The sequence below is a fragment of the Homo sapiens genome, chromosome 13 (genome assembly GCF_000001405.40).
Source record: "Homo sapiens chromosome 13, GRCh38.p14 Primary Assembly".
NCBI classification, from domain to species: Eukaryota; Metazoa; Chordata; class Mammalia; order Primates; family Hominidae; genus Homo; species Homo sapiens.
The window spans coordinates 111,892,614-111,918,391 of record NC_000013.11 but is presented as its reverse complement, the minus strand read 5'-3'; the positions used below and the strand labels follow the sequence as shown (position 1 = coordinate 111,918,391).

Genomic DNA, 25,778 nt, shown 5'->3' with positions numbered 1-25,778 from the left:
GTGATGGCCTTGGTGTTAGATAAAAGTTGATGTCCCCAGTGGTATATAAGTTCACAAATTCATAAACGTCTTGTCTGAACATTGTCTATGATTCAGGACAAGTTGCTACCATAAGGGTGCTGGACGATCCTGGAGTCCTGAGCTACGTGGGCTGGCCGGTTTCCCGACGTCGGGTGGAGGAGGAGTATGACATAGAATCAGATCCACCAGTGAAGGGAACCCTCCGGCCCAGCAGGTCCCAGAACCACATGGGGCGGGCTGGGGACACAGAGAGACTCCCACAGCCTGACACACAGGAACGCCGAGGCCCAGGCGGCCCATATGCACGTGAGGTCCTCCCATCTGCACCCACCCATCTCTCATTCCTTATGGCTGCCTTCTGGCGCTACCTCCGCGTGGGAGTAGTGCAGCCCCCTGGTCCCCCCAGCACATGAAGAGGCCGTCCAAGGCTAACTCCACCTGTGACAGCACTGGAACTCCAGAAACCAGGCTGAATTGTTTCCTACTCAATGGAGTGTATGTTCATCCTTTCACACCCTCCATCTTATTCTAAGAAAAAGCATTTACGATCGGAATTGATGATGGCTTACATAAATACAGCAAAACAAAGAAGAAGGAGGAAAGCAGTCCAAAGGGAGTTTGGGAAGAAATGACGACCCTGAGAAGTCCAGGACAAGTAAACAGAGCCGTATGGTGAGGACTGGTACCCTTGCTAGAAGCTGGCCACGCATTTAGTTCCAAACTTTCTAGCAACTACTGCAAAAAGCGCAGTGTGATCAGATAGGTGAATAAACATCAGTAACATAAAAATAAACTATTTGTCTAGGAGAAAACCCTAAAATTCTAGTGCTAAATCCAGAAATACGTCCCCTGAAGGTGCCTATGTGGGAGACACACACACGGTAAGGAGCAGTGTCTCCACCGACAGCTCTAAGGTAAGCAGAGGAACACGCCTGTGGGGCCGTGTCACGTTTCTGCCCCCAGAGTAAGACAGTGGAAAACAGCAAAGAGAAATTCAAGAGAGCAACGCTTTGCAGGAGCTGAAATAACACAGCCCAGGTAAGAAGTGGATCCAAGACCCCGTGGAAGGGCTGTCCTCGGTAAACAGGGCTGCTCTTGATCCTGCCTCCGATGACGGCCCGTCAGGAGGGATCTGCAGTGTCAGAACACAGTCGTCTCCTGGGAATGGTGAAGGGTCCAGCCACACTGTGACTGTCAGCCTGGCAGGCTGACCCCAGGGAAGAGCTGATGAAAGCAGTGTGAGCTGGACTTCCTTTCCGCTGGGAGTGGCCGAGGAGGACACCCCTGGACCAAGTCCATTCCATGCAGTTTGGGGTCTGCTCCAGAACTTGGTAGAAGAGCCCCCCAGTTCCTCAAGATGGAATTGACCCAGGACAGTCTCAAAGTGGGTGTAACTTGACATTCGTCTTGGCCACAAACGCTTGTAGGGAGACCCAGTAGGAAGGGGTGGGGTGCCTGTTCCTCCAAGTCACATGGATTTCAAAAGAGAGGCCAGGCTTGGGTGGGAGTGGTGGCCAAAAATATGGATGTGGTCCTAGAGCGTGGCCAGTGGCGGTTTGGGGCAGTTATAAGATCTGGGGGCCGGTTGTTTAGGCCGATTTCCTCTTGACAATGGAACAGCACATAGACACTGACAGCAGGCATCTTTTTCTCCTGGGGCCGCATGAAACCCACTTACAACCCATACGAAGTCATTAGAATATAAATCAAATAGGGAGGAACATAGCAAAAAAAAAAACTTTCCTGTTTTAAAAATGTCCACAGGAAACTTTATGATTTATCATTCGTGGACCTCAGCTCTAGAGTGACATTAGCGGTCAGATTCTGCCCTGGCATCAGGGACCGTGGGGAGTGCTCGGTCTCCACCTCTAGGTCTAGGCTGGCCTTTCCCTGCCTCCTGTGGATCCAGCCCCACACTGAGGCTGGTGGAAGCCCCACACTGAGGCTGGCCAGAGCCAGGCCTCCACTGTTCTTCCCACATTCCTGATTTTTCAAATTATACATTATGAGGGGCCGTGTCTGGGGCCCACTGGGTGGTGCCCAGGGGTACCCAGGGTCTGGATCTTGTGGCAGAACCTGCCAATCCCACACGTCAGCACTGATGTCCTAAAATGGAGGTGTCCACCAGCTCTGCAGGCTACACTCAGACCTTTCTATGTGGACATTAGATTTGTACTTTCCCCAAGACACTTAGTGGACTGATGAGATTTAAATGTAATAAAGCCAGGTGTCTCTCCTAATGTTCATTTCTCATGTCCTCATGCCCACCTGGTTGGATTGTTTTTTGGTTTCTGGTTCTCCTCAGATCAGGTAAGCATCACCCAGTGAGGCCGAAATTAGTTATAAACTATGGGCAACCTGGTAACAGTGAACAGAGGGAGAAATAACCTGGCTGTTTCAGAAGTCTTTGCAGTAGGGTTAAAAAGCAAAAGCAAACCAAAAACTCAGAGGGCAAGAGGCGATCCACAGAAGAACTATTCACAGAAGGATTTTCCCTCAAACTCACTCTTCCACTCCGTCCAAACCCCAAATAACCTATAGAGTGGATTTCCCGACATAACAGGGCTCTGACTAGGACCTACACTGTTTCCGAATGAGAATGCCAACACTCCTGACTTAATCATAGCGAAGTTTAACAATCCAGATCCACTGGATTAGTCCTAATAATGCTTAACTATCACTTGCCAGGCACCAGGTCTATGTTTCACTATCTGCAGACATTATCTTGCTGAACCCTCAGAACACCCCAGCGAGGGGTAAACACTTCTTCATACTCGATGTGTAGATGAAATCGCTGTAGGAGGGGCTGGGCCACTGGCTGAGCCAACAAAGAAGCATTGCAAGATTGGTAACTCGAGGTGCACCTGGATTCCCAGACAGGGCCATCGGAGGCCAGGCAGGAACATTGCTGGAATGTGATGGATCCAGAGGGGCAGCTGCGGTCTTTGCCAGCGCTTAGGAGCCCTGAAAACACTCGTGGCCATGTGGACGACTGAGAGGTGTGCACACCTCACTCACTGGCCTGAGAGGGAAGATGAGAGAGCAGCAGTTTCTGGATGCAACAGCCCCAGAGGCCTCCCCAGGTCCCATCTCTCCCACTCTCGGGTCCGACTACTGGCGAGTCACTCCAACAGGCTGACTTCCTGAGCCCAGGGCGGCCAGCAGATGCTGAGATCTGCAGGCAGGTGGAGGTGGCAGGGGAAGAAGGCCCGGGAAGAGGCAGCAGGGCTGGACGGCTGGGAGGGGACTGGCAGGTGGGGGCTAAACCACGGTCTCTTGAGTCACCACCTGAATCTTACAGCTTATTAAAATCTCCCTTCCAGGAGAAAATTGTCTTTCTGGTTGGGGAAGCTCAGCGGATGGGAGAAAGCAGCCCCAGCTCCCACGTGCGCCTCCCAGACAGGAGACCTTGGCCTGCGGCTGGAGGGGCCTGTTTCTTAGTACTACGCTTGGTGGGCTTGGGTGGCCCCAAATGAGTTCCCCAAAATCAAGAGGGTGTCCAGTGGGCTCAGAGCTGTTTCTGTTTGTCTTAAGGCCCTGTGTGGGGCGAACCATGATCCAGCCACCTTCCCCTTCAAGTCAGCAGAGGGGGCTGACCTCAGAAGGCCAGAGGAGGTGCACACCAGGACTGCAGACCTGCTGCAAAGGGCAGGCCTCCCCAGAAACACCCACAGTTAGCCAGTGAGACCAGTGGACACAATATTATAAAGAAGCCTTTTTAAAAGAAAAGAAAACCATTTGTTTGAAGATGAGAAAGGAGAGAGAACAAGCTAGACAAGGAATGAGAGGACAGAATGTGGGGTGGGCATCCACACACCTGGGGGTGGTCCAGTATCTCCTCAGTGGGACACAGAGAGGCCCTCAGGGGATGAGCACCAGGGGCAGAAAGAAATGCACCTGGCCCAGTCCTTTCCCCCTGGTCCTACAGGGAGGCACCACCTCCCACCCTTTGTCAGGATGTGTTACGAGGACAGTGTCACTGTGACCCACAGCCGTTCGCTCACACTTAGGCATGGCGGGGAGAGGCTGCGACACACAACGGGTTCCAGCCTGTTCTAGAGGCAAGTGCCAGGAACACTTTCCCACCCCATCTTCTATTTGATCAGATAGAGCAGATAATTTGTTTTCTAGCTTTTTCTAAATGGATTCACTCTAATTCCAATCTTACAGACTGCATATTCCACCATGTGTAACTCCAGTAACTGAAGCACTGGCAAATAGTCCTAGGCAGGTGTTCACTTCTAGCCTTAATCAACTAACAAGTTCATTATCAGAGCCTGTCTGCAGTTTCCGTGGTCACTCGGTGAAGCCACAGTGCCACCTCCAGAAGCGCTAGCGTCTTCTACTCCAAAGCTGAGATAGTGACTCGCTAGGTCCCTCCCAGGTGGCTGAGCGGCCCTGGATGCTTTGTGTAAGAGTCTGTGTTTAGTTGTGAGAAGTTCCAACAATCGGGTAATGTCATCACTGCTGAGGCAGCAGCTGTCCTGACGCAGAGCTTCCAGGAAAGGGCATACGAGAGGGAGAAAGATGGCCTGAGGCTTTCATTGAGAAAGGGAGCATTTTATTCTCAAATTGCTCTTGTTGACAGCAAGAAGGGTGCATATACATTACGGTTCAATTTCCCAGGCCACTTTCCCACCACGCCTTGTTGGGTCACTCACTGCGGCACTGAGCCGGGCAGGTTAAACGCGTGTCACAGCCTGACCCCCAGAGCCTCATGCTGAGGAATGCAGTGCTGGCTGAGCCTGGGGCCAGAGGCTCACTCCAAGCTCTGCACTTAGTGGAACTACAAGGAGAGGAGGCTGAGCGGGGCAGGGTGGCGGAAGAGAGGCAGCATGGGAGGCGGAAAGGGAGCAAGGCGTGCGAACCTCACATAATGAGCTGGACAGCTGGTCAGCGCGGTCCCTGGAAGCCTTTAGATGTGGAAACCTGAGGAACTGGTCACCTCTAAGGTGACAGAGAGGGAGGAGGAGAAGCCTGGACCCCTGGCCCTGTGCACTCTTCCCAGGGCCCCCCACCTCCTGAATACCTCTCTCTCCTCAAGCTCCATGCTCAGCAGGTGCTGCTTTGGTAGAAGCTGAGTCTGAGATCTAAGATGAGTTTCAGCATGGGGAGCTCCACGGTGCCACTGCGGCAGGGCTGGGGAGCGGGAGAAAGCGGCTTGTGGTGTGCAGGGAAGAAACAGGAAATCTCATTGCCCTTGGGCTTGGCTTCAGGGTCCGAAAGTCCTGTCACCGCACACAGAGGCTCCGCCTACTGGAGTTGGAGCGAAGCATCCCCGTTCTTCACGAGGATTCCAAGCCTTGCCATTTGCGGGTGATCTCATTTTGGTCATGATTTTTCTCCATGTCTTTCCTCGTACCAGACTCTTCCCTAGAGATATTGACAAAATAGACCTATTTGAAGTGTATTGTATTTTACTTAAGTAGTATTTCTTGACGCCCACCCATACCTGCTTCCTAGGTGGTCTCAGTGTGTGTTCCTCCAGGAGGGGACCCTAGACAAGGACTTGAGGGCAAGAAGCTTAAGTGGAAAGTGATCCCAGGAGAGACGCAGCGGCTCACTCGCACGGAGGGGTGTGGGGCGGGGTAAGAAACGGTGCCCACCAGGCAAGTGACAGCTGCGGTCCACTGCAGCCTAACCCCATGGCGGGACCCCAGGAGGCAGTATGGAACCCACCCCAGAACTGCCCTTGTGAAGGGGCAAGGAGGCTGGAGCTCATCTCCAGCTCCCCATCAATTCTGGCCAGAGCTGCTTGCAAGGCTACTTCCAGCCTGCCCCACACGCTAGCTGTTCACCCCTGCAACCTCGAGACACGCCCCAGGTAGTCACAGGCATTGGCGGTGATCAACCACACAGGTGAACGCCGAGAGGATTCAGGCACGGATCGCACCTCATATATGGGTGTTCATGGTTCAGGGAGGAAAAATGGACAATGGCAAAGTGCTTTGGGGCTGGATGCAGTGGTACACAACTAAAAATCTCAATACTTTGAGAGGTTGAGGTGGGAGGATGGCTTGAACCTAGGAGTTGGAGGCTGAGCGAGCCAGGATCACACCACCACACTCCAGCCTGGGCCACAGAGTGAGACCCTGTCTAAAAAAAATGCTTTGGTGAAGAGGAGCAAGGGCTATGAACACACTGAGGGGCTACCTAAACCAGACTGGGATGCTGGGCGGGGGATCCATCTGTAAGAAGGTACCTGCCAAGTTCATCAGGGAAAGGCAGGGTTAGTTGGGTGAAGGATGTGGAACAGTGTGGGGAGGAAGAGCATTTAGGGAAATGGTGTGCAGGGGCCTGGAGATATAAAGTGAGTGGAATGGGAGGACTCTGCGTGGAAGAAGAGTCTAGGGACGCCTGCAGGGGCCAGGTGCTGCCGGGCTTTGTAGGTCAAGTGGATAATTTCTTGGCAACGGGACGTTGGAGAAGAGGTTCAAGCTAGGAACCCACAGTCAGGCCGGCCTGTAGTAAGTGGACTGTGACGTCTCAGCAGGCGTGCGCTGGGCCCATGGGAGACCCTGGGCAGGCTGACCTGCTAGAAGAAGGTCATGCAAATTCAGGCAGGGGATGATGCACACTGAACTAAGGACCCAAATATGGATGCAGCAGATTTAGCATGAACGCACTGTTGTGAATTCTTTAATTCTTTCCAGCAGCAAATGCTGAGCTCCCAATTCCTCTCTCAGTGGCAGAATTAATCCAAGAACCTCTTCAATCAGACCCTAACGTATGTGGATGCAAGGCCATCAGAAATGAGGGCTCCTGTTCCAGGAAACTTGCTGTTGGGAGGCCGTGACGGTTTCAAAGCAGTTGGTACTGCAGGTCATGACAATCTTGTACCCAGAACGACCTTGAAGAAAGTATCCTAATAGCAGCTCATTGACGCTCAGAGAGTACTCACAATGCCTGGCGGCATACTTCACCGGTACATAAAAGACAGCACCTTCAGGACAAGAGAGAAAGCAAGAGTTCTGCCCCATTTGATGCGAGCCTTCCAAGGCAGTCACCCTCCCTCCAGAGAAAGCGTCAGGACCAGTGTCTGCAGGTGATTTGCTGCAATTTCTTCCTAACAGCCCTGATTCCTGATGAGCGATGCTGGTGCCCTCTGCTCCTTCGGGTGTGATGGTCCCATGTTGCTGGGCCCCTGGCCAGTTTCTGCAGGATGAGAGTGAAACCCCCATATCTGAAAAGAGTGCTTCTGCAGCCTCTCCTTGATTTGTTCAGGCATTTCAGAGTTTGAGGAGTCTGGTCCTACAGAGTAAGAATCAGGCCGGGCTCTCTTCAGGAGAGACTCGAGGACACCAACTCTTTCTCTCCAGAGGCACTGCAGTGTCAGATCTGCCTACAGAACCCTGAGACTTTTGGACAAAATAAAATATTCATGCATTTGGAGGACTTTTAGGACTCAGAGTCAGGAGCAAGATGAAACCTTAGAAATTTAAACCTGGAGCATTGCAGATATTGAGGAGGTGAGTGGCTGCAGCCACCATATCAGTTCAACAAGGAGAATGAAATAAACACCACGTGCCAGTCTTGTAGGTGACAGGGATGGAGTTATTGTGACTCTGGGAGGATCAGCCCCTAGACACACGTGCGGAGCCCACGAAGCCTGCAGGAACTACAGCAGGCTTGTGTTGTTGGAGCCTCCATTCTTCCTCTATAAAATGAGGAGTGTGAGGCTGCCTGGGCCCCTGCAGGAGCAGGAGCAGCCACAGCATTGAAGAAGGTGGGGATGGGGGCTGTGGGTCCCCCCACCAGCTCTCCCTCCCTGGGTGGCCCCTCAGCAGTGTCAAGAGCTCCTAGAGGTTGACTGTGCACATCAGAACCGGCGTGAGGTCCCCCTGGCCGGGCCGGCTCCTCGCTGATGGGGTCGGGAGCTCTTTCTCATGTTGCCCTCTCTGGTGTGTGGTCCTAGGTCTGGCTCTTCCTCCTCCTGATGGTTTTGGCCACCGACGTTCATCAGGTTCACTTAGCAGGTGCACCATTTATCTTGGTGTCCTGCTCTCCGTGAGATGCTGGCCTGCAGGCGTCTGGCTGGCTGGCTCACAGATGGCTCTTCTCCAAGGCAGGAGCAATGGCTGTGGGTACACCCATGTCCTTGGGAGACAATGGAGGCTGTGGGGCTCATGGCCTCTGTGGAGGTAAAGGAGCACCTGGGCCAGCTCCCAGCCTCCCGAAGGTACTATGGGTCCCATCGTCAGGTAGACGACGCAGGGACCCCTGCGTTCTGGGTACCTGGACCTGAGGAAGGAGCCCTCGGTCTGGGGTGGATGGAGCCAGTCTCTGGGGATCCATTGGCTGAGATTCCCACCCCATTTTGATGGTAATTTCAATGGGGGGTCCCATCACCCTTTTGGTGAGGGGCAGTATTGAAGCCCAGATACTGAGGAGCAGTAAGGGGCATAAACAGGGCTACCTCAGCACACATCCACCCAGAGGCCAGGAGCTGGAGGTTTGTGAGAAAAGCAGGAATTCCCCACTTTCCCATTTGCCAAAAGGACTAGAGAAAGAATGAAAGGCAAGACGTGGGGTAAGTATCTGGAGGCCAAGGCATAAGGAAGAGAAGGCTCCATGCCCACCGAGTCACAGCCATGAGCTCCACAGGGACAGGGAGTCCGTTCATCCAGGATCTGGAACCCTAAGAACCTTGTGGCCTGAGTGACATTCCCCCAGGCCAGCACGGCACCTGCCCAGCACCTCCTAGCACCGCCAGCACCACTCACGGCGGGATACGACTTCCCTTCACCAACCCCACCCTGTCCACTCGTTATCCTAGGACGTGCGGCCCCTACTCACCCCTGGGCCCCTCTGTGCCCAGGGCCCACAATGCTAGAGAGACCTTCGGGGGGGGGGGGGCATCACCTTATTGGCTGAAGGAAAAGGTGTACCAGGGTCTCACCCTCAAATCCAGTGGACTGAGATCCGATCTCAGGTGACAGAGAGTCTTATTCTGAATCAGATGGAAACAGAACCCTATGCAGGTAGAAGATAAAATGTGGATGCAAAACCTAGAGGCTGCAGTTAGAAATCAAGTGAGGTCAACCACAGGCAAGCATAGAACACAAATTAGAGTGTCCAGACTCTCTCCTGGCCATTACAGCCACCGCCTGGCTGCTGCTGTGCCAGGGGTTCACCCAGAGCCTTTTCCCATTAGGAGCGAGATAACGGCCCCCTGCCCCGGCTGCTGCGGGTCTAGATGTGGCCACCCGCCTTGTCTCGCCTCCGGTGGTTGGAGAGGAGCAGGGGTGGACAGTGTCAGGGATGCCAGCACAGCCTTGGCCTGGAAGCCAGTGGACTTCTTGATCCTTCATCTGGAAAAAGACAGGCTGATTAACCACTGTGTTTTAATAGTTTTTGTTATTATTATTATTTTGAGATAGAGTTGAGCTCTGCTGCCCAGGCTGGAGTGCGGTGGTACAATTTCCGCTCACTCCAACCTCTGCCTCCCCAGGTTCAAGTGATTCTCCTGCCTCAGCTTCCTGAGTAGCTGGGATTACAGGTACCTGTCACCACGCCTGGCTAATTTTTGTATTTTTAGTAGAGATGGGGTTTCACCATATTGGTCAGGCTGGTCTCAAACTCCTGACCTCAGGTGATCCACCCACCTCTGCCTCCCACGCCACGATTACAGGCATGAGTCACTGTGCCTGGCCAGATTTTATTATGATTTAAGTGGAAGAGGCCAGCAGATCGGGAGACGACTGCCATTGAGAAGAGTTTGTTACAGTCACTGCTTCCAGGAGAAGGAGGCAAGCAGCACCCTGTAGGGCACGCAGGGAAGGCCGGGTCGGCCGGGAGGGAGACGGGCTATGGCAGGAGCCTCTATCTACCAGCCTTTATGGCCGTTTCCGGGGCAGGGAAGGCAGGCTTAGGATTGACTGGTTTGAATAATTCTGGCAGGCCCTGTGGCACTGGGGCTGTCTCTAGCTGTCTGGCACCTGCCCCAGTGTGATCAGCTCAGACAGATAGTGGCCCGGAGGGTGACCCAATAAGCAGGCGGTCAGGATGTGGGCTGAAGAAGGGGACCTGGCCACCTCTAGCCAGGACCTCCAAACTGGGTCAAGACAGCATTTTCCAAACCACATTCTATGCTGCTCCAGAGGAATCAGAAGACGCTATTCATTCACTCCTTGGAGGGAATGTGTGTGTATATGTGTAATGCCCATGTACAAAAGTAAGTAATGCACACATTTTATATTTTACAGAATGTATTTTACATCTTATGGTGTATGTCTGCAACATTTTATATCTTGCCAAGAGAAGGTATGAATGTTTGCTACTTTCTAATTCCTCTTTTTGAGATCAAAGAAATCTCCACTCTTAGTGCACAGAGAAGAAAGAATCTGTTGCCAGATGCCATCTTGGACATCTACTTATGCTTAAAAAGGAATCAGTCCCTTTGCTCCATGAAGACAGCGGCCAGGTTGAATACGCGAGCTTCGTCCACTGTCCTACCATGCAGGGAGCGTCTTCACTTCTCAAACTCTCCCCACTTGCGCTTCTCACCCATCAAGCCATCAACACCCCTGGGCCCCAGGAGCCTCTCCCTCTTATATCTCCAGATCAAGCAAGGTTCAGACACCTGGACTTCCCAGAGCTCCCAGGAGGTCAGGCTGTTGTGTTCACATGACTTCCCTGCAGGCTCAGGGTGAGAGAACTTCAGAGAAGAGACACCAGCTCCGACTCCTCAGATGTGACCTTCCTGGAGGCACCTGGTGCCAGCCCCCCTTCCACTGGGTAGGCCCCTGTCCTGGAGTAGAAGCCTCTCCAGCTCCCTTCCACTGGGTAGGCCCCTGTCCTGGAGTAGAAGCCTCTCCTTCTGCACCACCAGGGTCCCTGTAGCCTTGGGGTTAAGCTTCCAAGAGCACAGCCAGGCAGAGGAAGGGGCTCTCTTTCCCTGGGCTGAGGCTTCCGCCCCACTCCACGCTTTCTGTCCCTGGAGCCTCTGCCCGTTCCTCAGTGCCTGACATTAGCCCTGTCCTTTCAGGGAAGAATTATGCTCCCTAATAACAGCCCCAACAGAACAGAAGCTCATTTGTCCATTAGAAAAGAGACATGATTATTACATGTTACATGCCTGTATCAAAATATCTCATGTACCCACAAACATTAAACATGAAAAAGAAAAAAGGAAAAGAGACACAGGCAGAATTTGAAGAACTGTTTTCTCAAAAATTGAGAAATATGCGAACTAGGGTCAAGAACCGAGCCCCTCTCCATTTCCTTGGTAATGACCCCTCTGACAGAAGCCACGAGGCACAGGCAGCATTTCAGGTCTCCAGTCCCATTCTGTGTAGCTGTATTGGAGGCCGTGACCTGGGTCCATTTCATAGGCATTGACTGAGCACCAACAGTGTACACGGTGCTTGCTCCAAGTGCAGACAGGGCAGCCACGGTCCCAAGGGCGCGCATTGTGGGAGAAGAAACATCAGGGACAGCACAGCCCAGATCTGGGATCCATGGGGATTCGCAGGTCATTAGGAAAATGTGGGAACCCAGACACTGAGCTTGAGGAAAGCAAGAAAAGAGCTGGGGAGGCTTCAGAGGGAAGTAACATGAGAGCTAAGTCTCAAAGTTAAGTACAATGTTGCCCTGGGAGCAGGATCAAAACTGGAAATCTCATTGCAGATTTTTATGATTCTGATTTTAGGGAATATCTTCCATTTCAATCAGCTCAACATGGCCACAAAGAGATCATAAAGTGTGCAGCAGCGTCGGTGCCTGGAAGTGCTCCAGGTGCGTAGCGGCCAGGCACTGCCTGCTCCCAACTGATTATGAGGTGGTAGATTTGGAATCTTTAAAATTTAAACCACTGCTTCCCATCCCAAATAAGAATGTGGACTATGGGCCTGGCACGGTGGCTCATGTCTGTAATCCCAACGCTGTGGGAGGCCAAGGCAGGTGGTTCACCTGAGGTCAGGAGTTTGAGACCAGCCTGGCCAACACAGCAAAACCACATCTCTACTAAAAATACAGAAATTAGCCAGGTGTGGCGGCACGTGCCTGTAATCCCAGCTACTCTGGAGGCTGAGGCAGGAGAACCACCTGAACCTGGGAGGTGGTGGTTGCAGTGAGCCAAGATCACACCACTGCACTCCAGCTTGGGTGACAAGACTGAGACTCTGTCTCAAAAACAAACAAACAAACAAAAAATAATACAAATAAAAAATAAAATAAAAGGTTTTTAGAATGTGGACGGTGAAGCAATTGCATTTTTCTTCGTAAGTCTCAGGAGAGTCAGGGGCTGGCTTGATACTCCAGCTTGGGTGACAAGACTGAGACTGTCTCAAAAACAAACAAAAAATAAAAAGGTTTTTAGAATGTGGACTGTGAAGCAACTGCATTTTTCTTTGTAAGTCTCAGGAGAGTCAGAGGCTGGCTTGATACTCCAGCTTGGGTGACAAGACTGAGACTCTGTCTCAAAAACAAACAAACAAAAAATAATACAAATAAAAAATTAAGGTTTTTAGAATGTGGACTGTGAAGCAATTGCATTTTTCTTCGTAAGTCTCAGGAGAGTCAGAGGCTGGCTTGATGCTCATGACACGCATCCACCATCTTCCTGGCCCACCGGTGACTTCACGTGCCTAAGCCACCATCAGTGCAGCTATGAGGCTGAGTTCCAGCCAACAGTCTCTGAACCACGGAACGGAGTAGGGTCTGTCTTCCACCCCAAAAACCAACATACAGCACTGCGAAGTAAGGACAAATAAAACTTGTGTCACGTGAAGCCACTGAAGTGTCAGAGCTGTGAGCAGAGCTCTGACCCTGCCTTCACTGGCACACAGGCGTGAGAGGGCAGCTTGAGAGAGAAAGTGACAGTCACTGAGGGTGGAGGGGGCGGGGACGCGGAAGGGGGCGGGGACGCAGAAGGGGGCGGGGACGCGGAAGGGGGCGGGGACGCGGAAGGGGGCGGGGACGCGGAAGGGGGCGGGGACGCAGAAGGGGGCGGGGACGTGGGGCCACACTCCAAACACGTGCTCCTCCCGCCTTGCTAGTCCACTGTTTAAGTCTGGCGAGCTAGAACACAGACGGACAGGGACAGAGGCTGGGTTCTAACCTGAGCCACAGAAGCCACATCCCCTGCCGGGAACTCTCTGTGAACATACGAAGGTACATGGACTGCTTATTTGTCATGTCACGATGGGCTTCACAAGAAAAATGCTTTAAAAGGCAGGAAGCTTCTTGGAGCCCAGCGGCACCGCATTACCAAGATACGATCAGGTTTCCAATGGAACCAAGGCCGGTAAGAGTGGACACCGCCCACCCAGCAGCTGCGAGCGGCTGACCTGCAACGTGTCCTGTCCCTGGGCTTTGTCACTGTATTCAACCACGCAGTCCTGCTCTCGGGTCTGCATAAGTGCGAAGGCTATTAAACAGCAGAGTATCTAAACTGCTCCTGCAGGTGAACGCATGTGGCACGCCTGTGAGTTGGGCTGGCAGAGAAAAGATGCTAAAATACTGATGGAGGAAGTGGGGGGCAGTGGTGGCCACATTGCTCCTGACTTCCGGCAGCACCAGCGGCAGCCAATTAGCCATGGGGTGCCATGGGTGGCCTCCAGGGCCTGCCGGGAGGTGCTGAGCCGGCGCTGGGCTGGAGCGGGCTCTGCGGGCTTCTGGCAGGAAAATGATGGAAGGCCGTGGCCTGGATTTTGCTGCCACACAGATACATGCGGGTGGCATCATTGCCAAATGCACAGAAAGCACAGCCAGGTGAAAACAAGGTGAAATTCCCGCAGAAACCTTCAAACGCAGGGCTGGGAAAGCCTGTGGTCTCCTGGTTGTTGCATAAAAGATTCTCTTTTTTGAAACAACAGTCTTTTGTAGATTTCCCCCACGGCATCCTGTTCTTATGATATTTTACGATGCACTTTGGGTTAGTTGGAGCCTCTGCTAGGTTTTTACCACATGCTTCCCACAGGCTGCTTCTTCCTCTGCCTTCACCCCAAGGGTGATGAAGAGGCTGATGGCAGCCCTTGGCTCTCCACGGCTGCCTTGTCAGGCGCTGCTTTCTTGTTGCTTACTGTGGATCATGACCTCCAGCCTGGCCTCACCAGGTTCCTCGCTCCCAGGCTCTAGGTCTGGGGTCCTTTCCGACACTCCACTCCCCCTCCATGCCCTCCCTCTAAAGCCCAGTCACATCTTGCTATTTTCCCTCAGCAACATCTTTCGGACCCTCTCATGCCTTTATTCACACACCTCAATATCCTCCACCAAAGTTCTGCTTCTCCAAAGTTCTATTAACCTGGTTTTTGTAACTCAATCAGCACAAACTTTTATTCTCCATGCATTGCTATAAAGCTAGCCCCGCCCTTCCTGAACTTGGGAATACAACATTTGGCCACATCGAATTTGGCTACAGGGCATTCTTACACATCTGCAGAAGACCCATGCTGTGAGAGAGATAGATGAGACCAGTGTCAGAATGAAATGAAGGTTTGCTGACTGGAAAATGCCCTAAGCGTAATTATTTATTTTTTATTTAACATTGAAAGTAGAGAAATATGATTTAGGTAAGAATATAGGTAGGGAGACTTACATTGAGCAAAGAATTTTGCTCAAAGTAGATAAGGTGACATGTGCCCAGGAGGGCCCTACAGGGTGCCCTAAGACTGCCTTCAGTCTGCCCACTCACCATCCTATCCATAGGGCACCCTCACAACACTGAAGGTGACTTGGGCAGGTAACTAACATAAACATGATTGATAACAAAATCAAGATTCAAAATCGTCGTGAGGGGTAGGAGCCCCAGACTGAAACCAGTGGTGTGCTGAGCGTCTTGCAAGGACTTACGTGCACATCTTTTCCCAAGTCTGCATTCAGCAATGTTGCACTGGGGGGCTGGAATCTGCCACGGTGAGGGAATTGCACCAGGGACATTTGCACGCTGCAAGGCAGCTCTCTTTCTGCTTTCTGGAATCTGCCACGGTGAGGGTATTTGCACCATGGACATTGGCATGCTGTGAGTCAGCTCTGCTTTCTGGAATCTGCTACGGTGAGGGTATTTGCACCATGGACATTGGCACACTGTGAGTCAGCTCTGCTTTCTGGAATCTGCTACGGTGAGGGTATTTGCACCATGGACACTGGCACACTGTGAGTCAGCTCTGCTTTCTGGAATCTGCCACAGTGAGGGTATTTGCACCATGGACATTGGCATGCTGTGAGTCAGCTCCTTCTGCTTTCTGGAATCTGCCATGGTAAGGGCATTTACACCATGGGCACTGGCACACTGTAAGGAAGCTCTCTTTCTGCTTTCTGGAGAGCCGGTTGCAAGATATTTATCAAGCACACTACCTAGTGAAACTGTGTATAGCCTTAATGCAAGTGAATCATTTCACTAGTTCTTGACCACCTAATGTGAAATTTCTACAGAATTTCAGTCTGTCCCCTGATCTGCTTTGGTACCTGAAATGAGTCTTGGTACCTCGCCTTACCCGTGTAAGTGCTGGAGCAACAGAACACGCACCCCCACACCCTGCTCTGGAGCAGGGCAAGCCTCGTGCTGGATGGGAGGTGACACTGATTCTCCCCCACCCGAGGACAGCGCTGGATACCTCGAACCAGAGGCCACCACGTGTACTTCTTCCTATTCAATAACTCTGTGGTTTTGCTGAAATGTTTCATCGCTGACCAGCTTTATGAACTTGGGTAGTCACATCCCCTCTCTGAGGCTCATCAGAATCATTACTTAGAAACTGTGGACAAGAATGCTAATTTCAAAGTAGCACTGGCAGGATAAAATTACAGATGAGTGTAAAAATGATTTGCATTTATTCGTTTGCCTGTGAGTCTTTAGTGCTAATCAATCTTCCATAAAATACACCAGAATACCACATTATTTGTGTGTGATTAAGTAAAATACAGTTTAAGATTCTGACCTACTATTTTTCTGAGAAGCAGTGAAAATTTTAAACATTGACAAAAATTGTTTGCCTATGTCTTAGCTCATACAGAAATGATAATTTATGGATAGGTTTATAGAGAATTTATCAAATGGACCCTGTCGTGTAAGTTTGCTGGAACCTTAACTGAAGGTGTTGTTGGGCTTGGACTGGCTTGGGTTTGGACTCAGGAGCGTGATGATGTAGCGATGGTGCTGACGACACTAGCTAACGTTTATTAAGCACTCACTCAGTACATAAAGCATGGATCACAGGCCCCGCCACTCATGCTTGACCTGCATCTTCCCATTTCATCCTCATGACACTCCTGCCATAGCTTACCATTATTGTTGCATAGTAAGAAATGTGCCTGGTCTTTGTCCTGGGTTCCTAGGAGGTAACATCTAAGCCTGCGGAATTTCCTGAGTGATGGGAATTTGTTACTCAAGGAGGTCCCTAGGCATCTTAGGGTCTGCATGGGGCTGGCCACACCAGAAAGGCCAACTATGCAATTACAGGGTGGGGCCGCATGGTATAGCTGAACTTTGACCTCCCAAAAGGGAGGAGGCTTGAGAAGGAGCTCATCACCTGGGCAGTGATCCCTACAGAAGGAGGCCCCGGTGAGAACTCGCAGACGTGCGGGAGGGGAAGTGCCCCCTGCCCCCTTCCACAGGGAGAGGGCCCGGGAACCCCAGGTTGGGACCCTCCTGATCTCGACCGGCCCTGGATGCGTCTCCGCTGCTGGGTCCTCAGCGTGGCCTCGGTGGTAGGGCTGCAGTTGTGAGGACAGAGCTTTTCTGAGTTCTGCGAGTCGTTCTAGTGAACTACGGACCCCAGAGAGGCTGTGGGAGCCTTGAACTTGTGGTCAGAAGTGAGAGTGGCCTGGGGAGCCGCAGACTTGGTGCTGGCATGGAAGTAAGTGCGATGTTGGCGACTATGCCCAAACCTCCGACTCCAATGCCAGTGCTGGGGGGTTCGTGCCGGGATTGCATCACAGCCCACCCAAGTACTCCCTCCAGTCCTCTGGTGGGGAAACTGAGACTGCAGATGGGAAATAGCCAGCACCCTCCTCCCCTCTAGTTTGCGACATGGATGAGCCAAACCCTGGTGTGGGCCCTTCAAGCCACGTTGCAGGAATGTGTCCTGTGAACATGGAGTTTCCTCCAGATCGTCTTGTTAGAGCACACCATCAAAAATAATGAGAAAAGAGGGTTTCCCCATGAGGGCGCATCCCTAGAGAACGGGGAGGAGAGTCTCCTGTGCCGTGATCCAGGGTTTCTTTTTGGTTTAATGAACAAGAGCACACAGGCTACATTAAATGGTGTTTTTAAAATCTCATCCCAAAACAATAAAAACAGGAGATCCCAGTAGACACAGGAGTGTTCAAGAAAAAAAAAATACATAATGGGCTAAGAAAAGCGCTGCATTTGACATACAAGTGAGCTTTGCTGGCAGCCACACAATGCTGGCCTCTTCTCCCTGTATACTCTCGTGAGCCGGCTTTCCTCAGCTACTGGGGAACAGGATGTGATTTTTCTTACGCTGCGTTGAATGCAAGGAATTTGTTTGTTTATTTTCATTCATTTCCTATGGATACAGGCAGATGTGTAAGTTGAGCTTTAACTCACAAAAGTGCCCACGGATGCGTTGATGTGTTTTAAACCGGGGGCTGCACAGAGGCCTTGCTGCGGCTGTGTCTGCTCCATCCTGAACCGATGATTACAGCCCCAGAGAACCTGATATTAAGCTGCTCTTTGAGTCTTATCCAGGCATAATGTGCTGCTCTGTTGAAAGGCTGGCGCTGGGAGAAGACGCAGAGGGCGTCACCACAGCCATTACGAGGCCATCATGCAGCCAAACCCACACTTTCCGCAGCCAGCGGCAGGCAGCCCGGTGAAGGGGGCGATTAGAAACCGGGCCCAGCCCTCCACGGTAACAAGCTCAGAGAAAGCCTATTCGGGGACAGCTTTTGCAGACAGGGGCAGCCCGTCACACTCTGAAGAGCAGAGACTTTGTGCTCGTTTAAAAACGTCAACTGCTTTGGGTGAACTGGCAGCAGGGGCATGGGCACAGCATCCCTCGGGCGAGGCAGGCACCCTCCACCCTCACAAGACCCATCGTACATCCCTCTCGGCCCCCCAGGGAATGGAGTCAGGCTGGCTGAGCCAGCATTTGTCTCCCTGCCTGTCATTCTTTTGGGGTGCAACCTTGCTCTTTTCTCTATGTGCTCTGAACCTTTTCCTACGCGGGGCAGGGTGCTTTGAGCCTCGCCTGGGAGGCCTTAATGAAGTTTTATGGCAAGACCCTAAAACTCAAGCAGCGGAGAGAGAGGTGCCCTAAAGATGGGCGTCTGGTGACAAAGGCAGATGCGGCAGAGGCCAGCTCTTGCTGTGTCTTCCTTACCCAGGAACCCTGGAAGTTTCTCGTGAGCCTACGCGAAGCAGTGCTGCCCCAGGGAAGCCCCTGGCAGCTCAGGCTTCCATGGAGTCCATGTCCACCTGAAAGGTACAAAAGGCAGTTGAGCAAGAGTGACGTAGCACCTTGCAGCGCCATGCCACATGCTGCCAGTCAGGGTTGGCTTTGGAGGAACATGCCACATTCTAGTCATTTGTCTCCCATACACAGTGCACCTGTCGCTGTTCAGGGACAAAAAGCATTTCTGCTTGCCAGGCTGACACGGAGGTCACAGAAGGTTCTCCAAAGTACATCAGTGAGGGCAATTAAAAACTAAGCCTCACTGGCCACTCTAGATTTAACCAACCAAGAAAGGAACCCGATGATAACAATGGCCGACCACTTGGATAGATAAATCAGCATGAACATAAGAGTGCATTCCAGTGACATCAACCCTTTGCTGTGATTAGCCCAGGCAGGGACGGCGGCAGTGGGGGGGCCCGGATTGCCACTGGGATATGCCAACCCTTGTCGTGATTAGCCCGGGCAGGGACGGCGGTAGTTGGGGGGGGTCAGGTTGCCACTGGGATACGCCAGCCCTTGTTGTGATTAGCCTGGGCAGGGACGGTGGCAGTGGAGGGGCCCGGGTTGCCACTGGGATACGGCAACGCTTGTCGTGATTAGCCCGGGCAAGGACGGCAGCAGTGGGGCGGGGTGGGGGGGCGCCGGGCTGCCGCTGGGATGTGCCAACCCTTGTCGTGATTAGCCCGGGCAGGGATGGCAGCAGTGGAGGGGCCCGGGTTGCCACTGGGATATGCCAACCCTTGTCGTGATCAGCCCGGGCAAGGACGGCGGCAGTTGGGGGGGCTGGGTTGCCACTGGGATACGCCAACCCTTTGCTGTGATTAGCCTGGGCAGGGACAGCAGCATGGGGAGGCCCGGGTTGCCACTGGGATGTGGGTGGGCTGTGTTTTGTGTGTGATGTTGATTCACTTAGCAACTGTCCTTGACCCCAAACTAAATACCACATATGCCACTTTGTATTCTTTCCCCATCTTTTCCGGCGTAGGACGAGACCCGAGCTTTGGTGTGCCTGCGTCTGCATTCTGTCCAAGGATGCCAAAGCAGATGTTTGCACTCTGAGATTTATCCGTGGAATATGCAGTGTGACTCACGGTGAAATTGCAGAATGAGATAAACTGGCTGAAACCTGGCTCAAAGGTGGGTTCTAAGGTTCAGCTGGAGTTTTTCAGTGTTACTATTTATAGTGGTGAATCTGAACTCTTGGCCACGTCCCAGAGCAAGGAGCAGTCCCCTGCGAGCCCACAACTGTGTGATCACGGCAACAGGACATGCTCAGAGGGAATCTGTCCAACCCGACGCCCTCATGGGAGCCAGTTCCCTCCTGTCTTAAACTGTTCAATTTTTGGTTTTTAGATCCAGCAATCTTATTATGCAGAGCATCTTTTTTATATGCCTATTTGACTTTTGTGATACACTTTTAATGTCATTTAAAAATTGGGCTTCAGGGTTGCTTTTGGCCAGGTAGGGTGGCTTATGCCTGTAATCCTAGCACTTTTGGGAGGATGAGGCGGGCAGATCACCTGGGGTCAGGAGTTCGAGACCAGCATGGCCAACATGGTGAAACCCCATCTCTATTAAAAATACAAAAATTAGCCAGGTGTGGTGGTACACGCCTGTAATTCCCAGCTACTCAGGAGGCTGAAGCAGAAGAATCACTTGAACTGGGAGGCGGAAGTTGCAGTGAGCTGAGATAGCACCATTGCACTCCAGCCTGGGTGACAGAGCGAGACTCTGTCTCAAAAAAATAAAAATAAAATAAGAATAATAAAAATTGGGCTTCAGAAGGGCAAATCTCAACGTTTTAGAATCAGTTTCTGGTGCAGCTGAAGGAAGCACAGAGTTGCTGTCTCAAAGCATGGATGTCCCCGCTGGGTTCCTGCTGGAGCTCCCAGGCATCTCAGAGCTGCCGTCCCAAATCACTCCAGAGCTTCCTGCTGCCCGAGGTCTGTCCCTGCTCCTCCCTGAGTCACTCCCCTTCTCTGTGGCTCAGCACCTAGCTGTCCGTCCCCTCGACCTCCTTCTCAAGCCGCCACTAGATCCTGGAGCAGCAAGGGTGCCATCCTGTCTCACTGACCCTTACAAAATTCCCCAGTCTGTCTATGGAGATGGCCTACCCACAGCCCTCCTCCACGTCTTCCACAGAAGTTGTTTAAAAACGTGATGAGTTTCCTTGTGAAACACGCCCAGAGGCCGAATCAGAGCGGAGTCCCCTGCATGGCCCCCCCCCGGCTGTTGTGTTCCCTCTTGTACTGTACCCCGTTTTCTGGGCCCAACCGTGGGGACCCCTCTCACTCTCTCCAGCACGGGACTTGCTATCTGGCCTGAGGGCTTTTGGACACACGTCCTCCACCCACCTCCTAATTCACCACTAACCACATCTTAGGTTTCTCTTTCCTGAGGGGATGGCCCTCCCCTGAAGGAGGCTTCCACTGTAACTCGGGCCTCCCTCTACCCCGGGGAGGTGGGGGCCTGACCTGGTGCATCTGGGAGGAACGCTGGGCATGTCTATCCTGGCCCTCCTTCTTTCTCCTGGGAGTGAGGAGCCCAGGAAGCATGACCTCCCCAACTCCATCACGCCACAGGGGCTGAGGCCACGTGGGCACAGCTGCCACGGCTACACTCTGGGGCTCAGGGAGCAGGCACCTGGCTTGTACAGAGGGCGTCCTGCAGCCTGGGCTTGCTAGTGACTACCTTACTTTGCTGACGCTGCAATAACAAAACATCTCAGACTGAGTGATTGTTAAACACCAGAAACGTGTTGCTCACCATTCTAGAAGCTGAGAAGTCCAAGATCACGGTGCTGGCAGATTCCGTGTCTGGTAAGGGCTTTTTCTGCTTTGTGAGTGGTGCCTCTTTTATAAGTCATTAATCCCATTTATGCAGGCTCTGTCCTCCTGACCTAATCCCCTCCCAAAGCTCCACCTCTCAATACTACGGCATTGGAGGCTAGGTTTCAGCACAGAAACTGGGTAGAGCTGGAACCTTGGCCTCCATCCTTATAAAGGTGCTCAGATTCTGGGTGTGACTTCCTCAGAGAGCCTGGACATGTTCAAATGGCTCCTCTGTTTGGGGGTGGTTTCCCCCATGCTGTCCTTGTGATAGTGAGTTCTCACCAGATCCGATGGTTTTATACAGTTCCTCCTTCACATGCTCTCTCTCACCTGCCACAGGGTGAGATGTGCCTGCTTCCCCTTGTGCCATCATTGTAAGTTTCCTGAGGCCTCCCCAGCCATGCGGAACTGTGTCGATTAAACCTCCTTTGTTTATAAATTACCCAGTCTCGGACCGTTCTTTCCAGCAGTGTGAGAATGGACTAAAGCAGACAGGGAGCATGTCTCCTCTGTTCAGGACTGACACAGGGTGCCCAAGCCGGCACCAGCTGCAACACCCAGAGGCCTCCACGCGAACTCCGCTAGCTGTCTGCCCTTTCCTAGCTCAGAGCCTTTGTGTGTGTGGCTCCTCCCACCCTAGATGCCTTTCCCACCTCTGTGCCCATTCACACGTGCAGGACCCACCTGGCCCTGTACCCAGCACAAGCCTTCCCAGCCTCCTGCTCTCGGAGCTGAGGGCCCACTGGGAACGGGGCCTGCCCACTGTGTGGGGCCTGGAGCCTGCCTTTGTAACGCTGTCTTCCTCTGTTCCATTAGGGTTCCAAAGACAGATCATGGCTAAAGAAGAGATCCTGGAGAAGGCAGAGCTGTTCCCCTTATGGTGATGGCGATGATGATGAGGTGACGATGACGGTGATAATGATGACGGAGATGGTGTGAGCCATCCTGTACTGAGCACGTGTCTGTTTTGGGTGCAGGATAAGTGCCTTACACATGTGTTCTCTCTTTGCTCTGCTCGTCTGCAGCTGTAGGATGACGACTGATGTGTGGGGAAGTTAGACGGCTATGTGCGAGACCAGCAGCTGGAATGTGGCAGGATGCCATGGAAACCGACCTCTGAACCCAACCCACGTTTCCGACGGGCCCCGGCTCTGTTGGGAAATGCCAAGTGTCCGTGCAGTGCAGAGGGTGGACCGTGAGGGATGCACAGGCCTTTTTGATGTGCACTGGGCAGGGACCACCTGTTGACTTGTTCAAGTAGAAGTGTGAGTTGGCAAAAGCCCAGATTCACTTTTCTGTGTCCTCTTTCACTTTCATCTGCGTGTGTTGGGTTTATACATATGCATGCACGTGTGTGTACATGTATGCATGGATAAATGCCCATGTGTGTATTCATGTGCATATGTATACATATGTATATGCTCCCATGTGGGTGTACACACAGTACACATATGCATTTGTGCATGCATGTGCATGTACATCTGCAAATACTCCCACATGGGTGTACACACATGTATTTGTGCATACGTGTGCATGTACATGTTAGGGTTTATGTATACGCTCCCATGCGGGTGTACACACATGTATTTTTGCATGTACATATGTATATGCTCTCATGCGGGTGTACACACATGCATTTGTGCATGTACATCTGTATATACTCCCACACGGGTGTACACACATGCATTTGTGCATGTACATATGTATACACTCTCATGCGGGTGCACACACATGCATTTGTGTGTACATGTGTATGTACTTATGTATATGCTCCTACGTGGGTGTACACACATGCATTTGTGCATACGTGCTCATGTACATGTGTATACGCTCCCACGCGGGTGTACACACATGCATTTGTGCGTATGTGTGCATGTACATGTGTATGCATGTGTGTGCACATTCACAGATTCATGTTCATATGTGCACATGTGTATAGACATATCGTTCATATTTCCCCATGGAAAAGACACATTCTGCTTACAGAAGCCTTTCCTTGTCTGTCACATATTTCCTCTAGCCCTTAGTTTCTAACTCTTTTTTTTTTTCTCCTTTTCCTTTTTTAGAGTGAGGTCTAGTGAGCATGTATTGAACTGGTCAGATCTCAAGTGCTACCATTCAATGAGTTCTGACCAGTGCTCGTTTGTGAGTACCCCACATCCTGAGCAAGCTACAGAGCATTCCATCACCCCAGAAGGCAGCTTGTGCCGTCCTGTCACCCCCACCTGGTGCCCCATCACATGTCTGTGCTCTTCTGTCGAGTTGATTTAACTTCGCCTGGGGTTCTCCAGCATTCAACTCCTTTGGAGTTTCTGCCATTCTCCAGGGTCTGATTTTGTTTTTGCTCCCAAGACTTACTTCTACATTCACATTAAAAAGTCTTCATTTCACACAAGAGGGGCCAGAAACATCTCTCTGTTGTTCTCTTGCCCTTAAGACCCACGGCCACAGGCCACTCCTGTCCTTCTAGAAGCTGGTCGCAGGTTGAGCAGGGATCAGAAAGCTGCATCAAGTTGACCCAGTCACTCACATTTAATATTAGGTTGGTGGAAAATAATTGCGGGTTTTGCTACTTTTTTTTAGTGACAAAAACGCAATTTATTTTGCACCAGCCTATTAGTATTTACTGTCCTAAGCTTTTTGTACGTGGCAAACCTCAGGATACCCCTGCGGATCCACACGGCCAGCACCCTCATTTAGAGATGAAGAGACTGATGTTCAGAGTGGTTCAGAGAGTCAGATGATCTGCCACTCTGCCGGAGGCCGGTTAGACAGCAGGACGGAGTCACCCTGGAGTGCTGCTCTCTAGCCAGATCATTCCCTTCGCTCCCGGAGCGTGGGAGAGGCCGCCTCTGGCTGCTTTTGTGCAGCGTAGAATGATGTCTTTTGTCACGGTCTCTGGGAAGCTGGAGAAGGTGCACGCCCTTCAGGACCCCCACCGAGCCCCAGGCCTCCGGATTTCCTCTTCCTAAGTCTCCCCTGGGGTGTTCTGTAAAGTCTTTTCCTGCTCCTAAGACCCTCCTGCTACCACCCCCTCTCCCAGACTTCTCACTTTTCCTGCTCTTCCAGTCACCCAGGTCTGCTTCCTCTCCCTGCCCATGAGCCAGCCTTGCCCGGAACCCGGGGTGATGACTCCCAGTGGGTGCTACTCAGTCCCTTAGGCCCCCGGCAGATGGTTCTCCTGCGCCCATGGCTCCAGGGCTGGGGTCCCCGGCCCCCCAACTGCCTCCCTGGCCTTCTCTGTGGTCCCCTCCCTTCCCACTCCCTCACTGTCGCTGCTCCCAGCCCCTGGGGCAGAACCAGACCCTTCTCCCTCCACAGCACCGCCACCCCCCAACAGCTCGGGCTGCCCCTCCAGACTCGTGGTGTCCGTGAACTACCTGACGGCCGACTGCTCCCAGACCTACACCCCAGGCCGGCGTCCCCGTGCTCCAGCCTCGAGGGGTTCCAGCCGCTCTCTGGGCATTTGCACCGAGACGCCAGGGAGACAGCGCATCTCCCCCAGGGTTCCTGTCTCAGTGAACGGCTCCGGCCCAGAACCCTACTCGGCTTTCTTACCTCCCCTTCTTCCTAACCTACTTCTAACCACTCGCTGTGGCTTACTCGTCTCAATCCCAAACGGCTCTCAAAAGAGGCTTCTGGTTTGCCTGCCCTTCGCCACGGGAGTGGGGAGCCACCGTCCCTCCCACAGCCCTCCAGCGGCCTCCGGGCGCCCACCGGGCCCCTCACCCGAGGCTTCTCGATGGGACAGGCTGTGCTGCGCTCCGAGAAACGGACATTCTCTGGCTGTCACGAGGGTCGTTAGAAAACAAGTCACTTCCGCCAGCAGCGCAACTGCGCAGGAATGTGATCCCCTCCCGGACGCGGCTAAGAATAACGTGCCTCGTTAGCGCATTGAAAACAGCGGCACGAAATCACACGGGGCGCGCTGACAACCACGTTGGCAGCTCAGCGTGGGGTCGCTTTTCCTCCCATGCAACTCCATGGGAATTCTTAAACACGCTTTCTCCCAGAGCAGCAGAGGCGCGGGGCGGGCCCCTCTGGAGTGAGCAACATGTTCTTATTCTAATTATGCTGGTAATTAGAGCGCAGGTCTTTGAACCTCAACCAGCCACGTTCCCGCCTCCAGGACTCACGCAGGATGAGAAGCGGGTCTGAAGGTTTCCTGCTGCCCAAGGCTGTTTGCCGCTGTTGTGAAGGGACTTTAAAAAATAAACCCACCTGTGGATTTGTGTTTGTTGTTTGTTTGTTTCCTTGCCTCGTCATAAATTGCTGGTGTCCAGATCACTGTTTGGTGTTCTGTATATATTGAAGCAAACGGCAAACAGCCTTTCCCTCTTTTTCATTGTGATTTGAATTTTGTGGCATGCGAGGGCTGACATTTCATTATTTCCACTAAAGCTTGGAATCGGAGACCAGTGATCTAAAGGAACGGTATAGGGAGTGCATTTGTTTTGTTTTCTGAGGTCTGCATTTGTCTGTGCATTTGAATAGGGCGTATGTCTTTGGTTGGGCAATGAATTCCTCCATATCAAAATTTTCAAATATAAACTGAGCCAAATAA

At 52.3% G+C, this 25,778-nt stretch overlaps 1 long non-coding RNA gene across 2 annotated transcripts, besides 1 other annotated feature; it reads right to left on the bottom strand.

Annotated features, from left to right (window-relative positions):
- Positions 1–17,215: 17,215 nt before the first annotated feature.
- LINC00354 (long intergenic non-protein coding RNA 354) lies at positions 17,216–25,014 on the bottom strand. 2 transcript variants are annotated; one of them, NR_120401.1, is made up of 4 exons: positions 24,818–24,896; positions 18,309–18,403; positions 17,534–17,706; positions 17,216–17,447 (listed from the first exon to the last, which is right to left on the bottom strand). It is a non-coding gene; the product is annotated as a long intergenic non-protein coding RNA 354 (long non-coding RNA). The 2 variants fall into 2 exon arrangements; NR_046992.1 differs by lacking the exons at positions 17,534–17,706; positions 24,818–24,896 and adding an exon at positions 24,944–25,014 and having other exon boundaries at positions 17,216–17,492.
- Positions 24,674–25,371: an enhancer, noted in NCBI's record as "NANOG-H3K27ac-H3K4me1 hESC enhancer chr13:112547335-112548032 (GRCh37/hg19 assembly coordinates)". NCBI's record gives its function as "activates a minimal SCP1, AML or CMV promoter by ChIP-STARR-seq in primed H9 embryonic stem cells {active_cell/tissue: H9 hESC(primed)}" and the evidence as "EXISTENCE:reporter gene assay evidence [ECO:0000049][PMID:30033119]".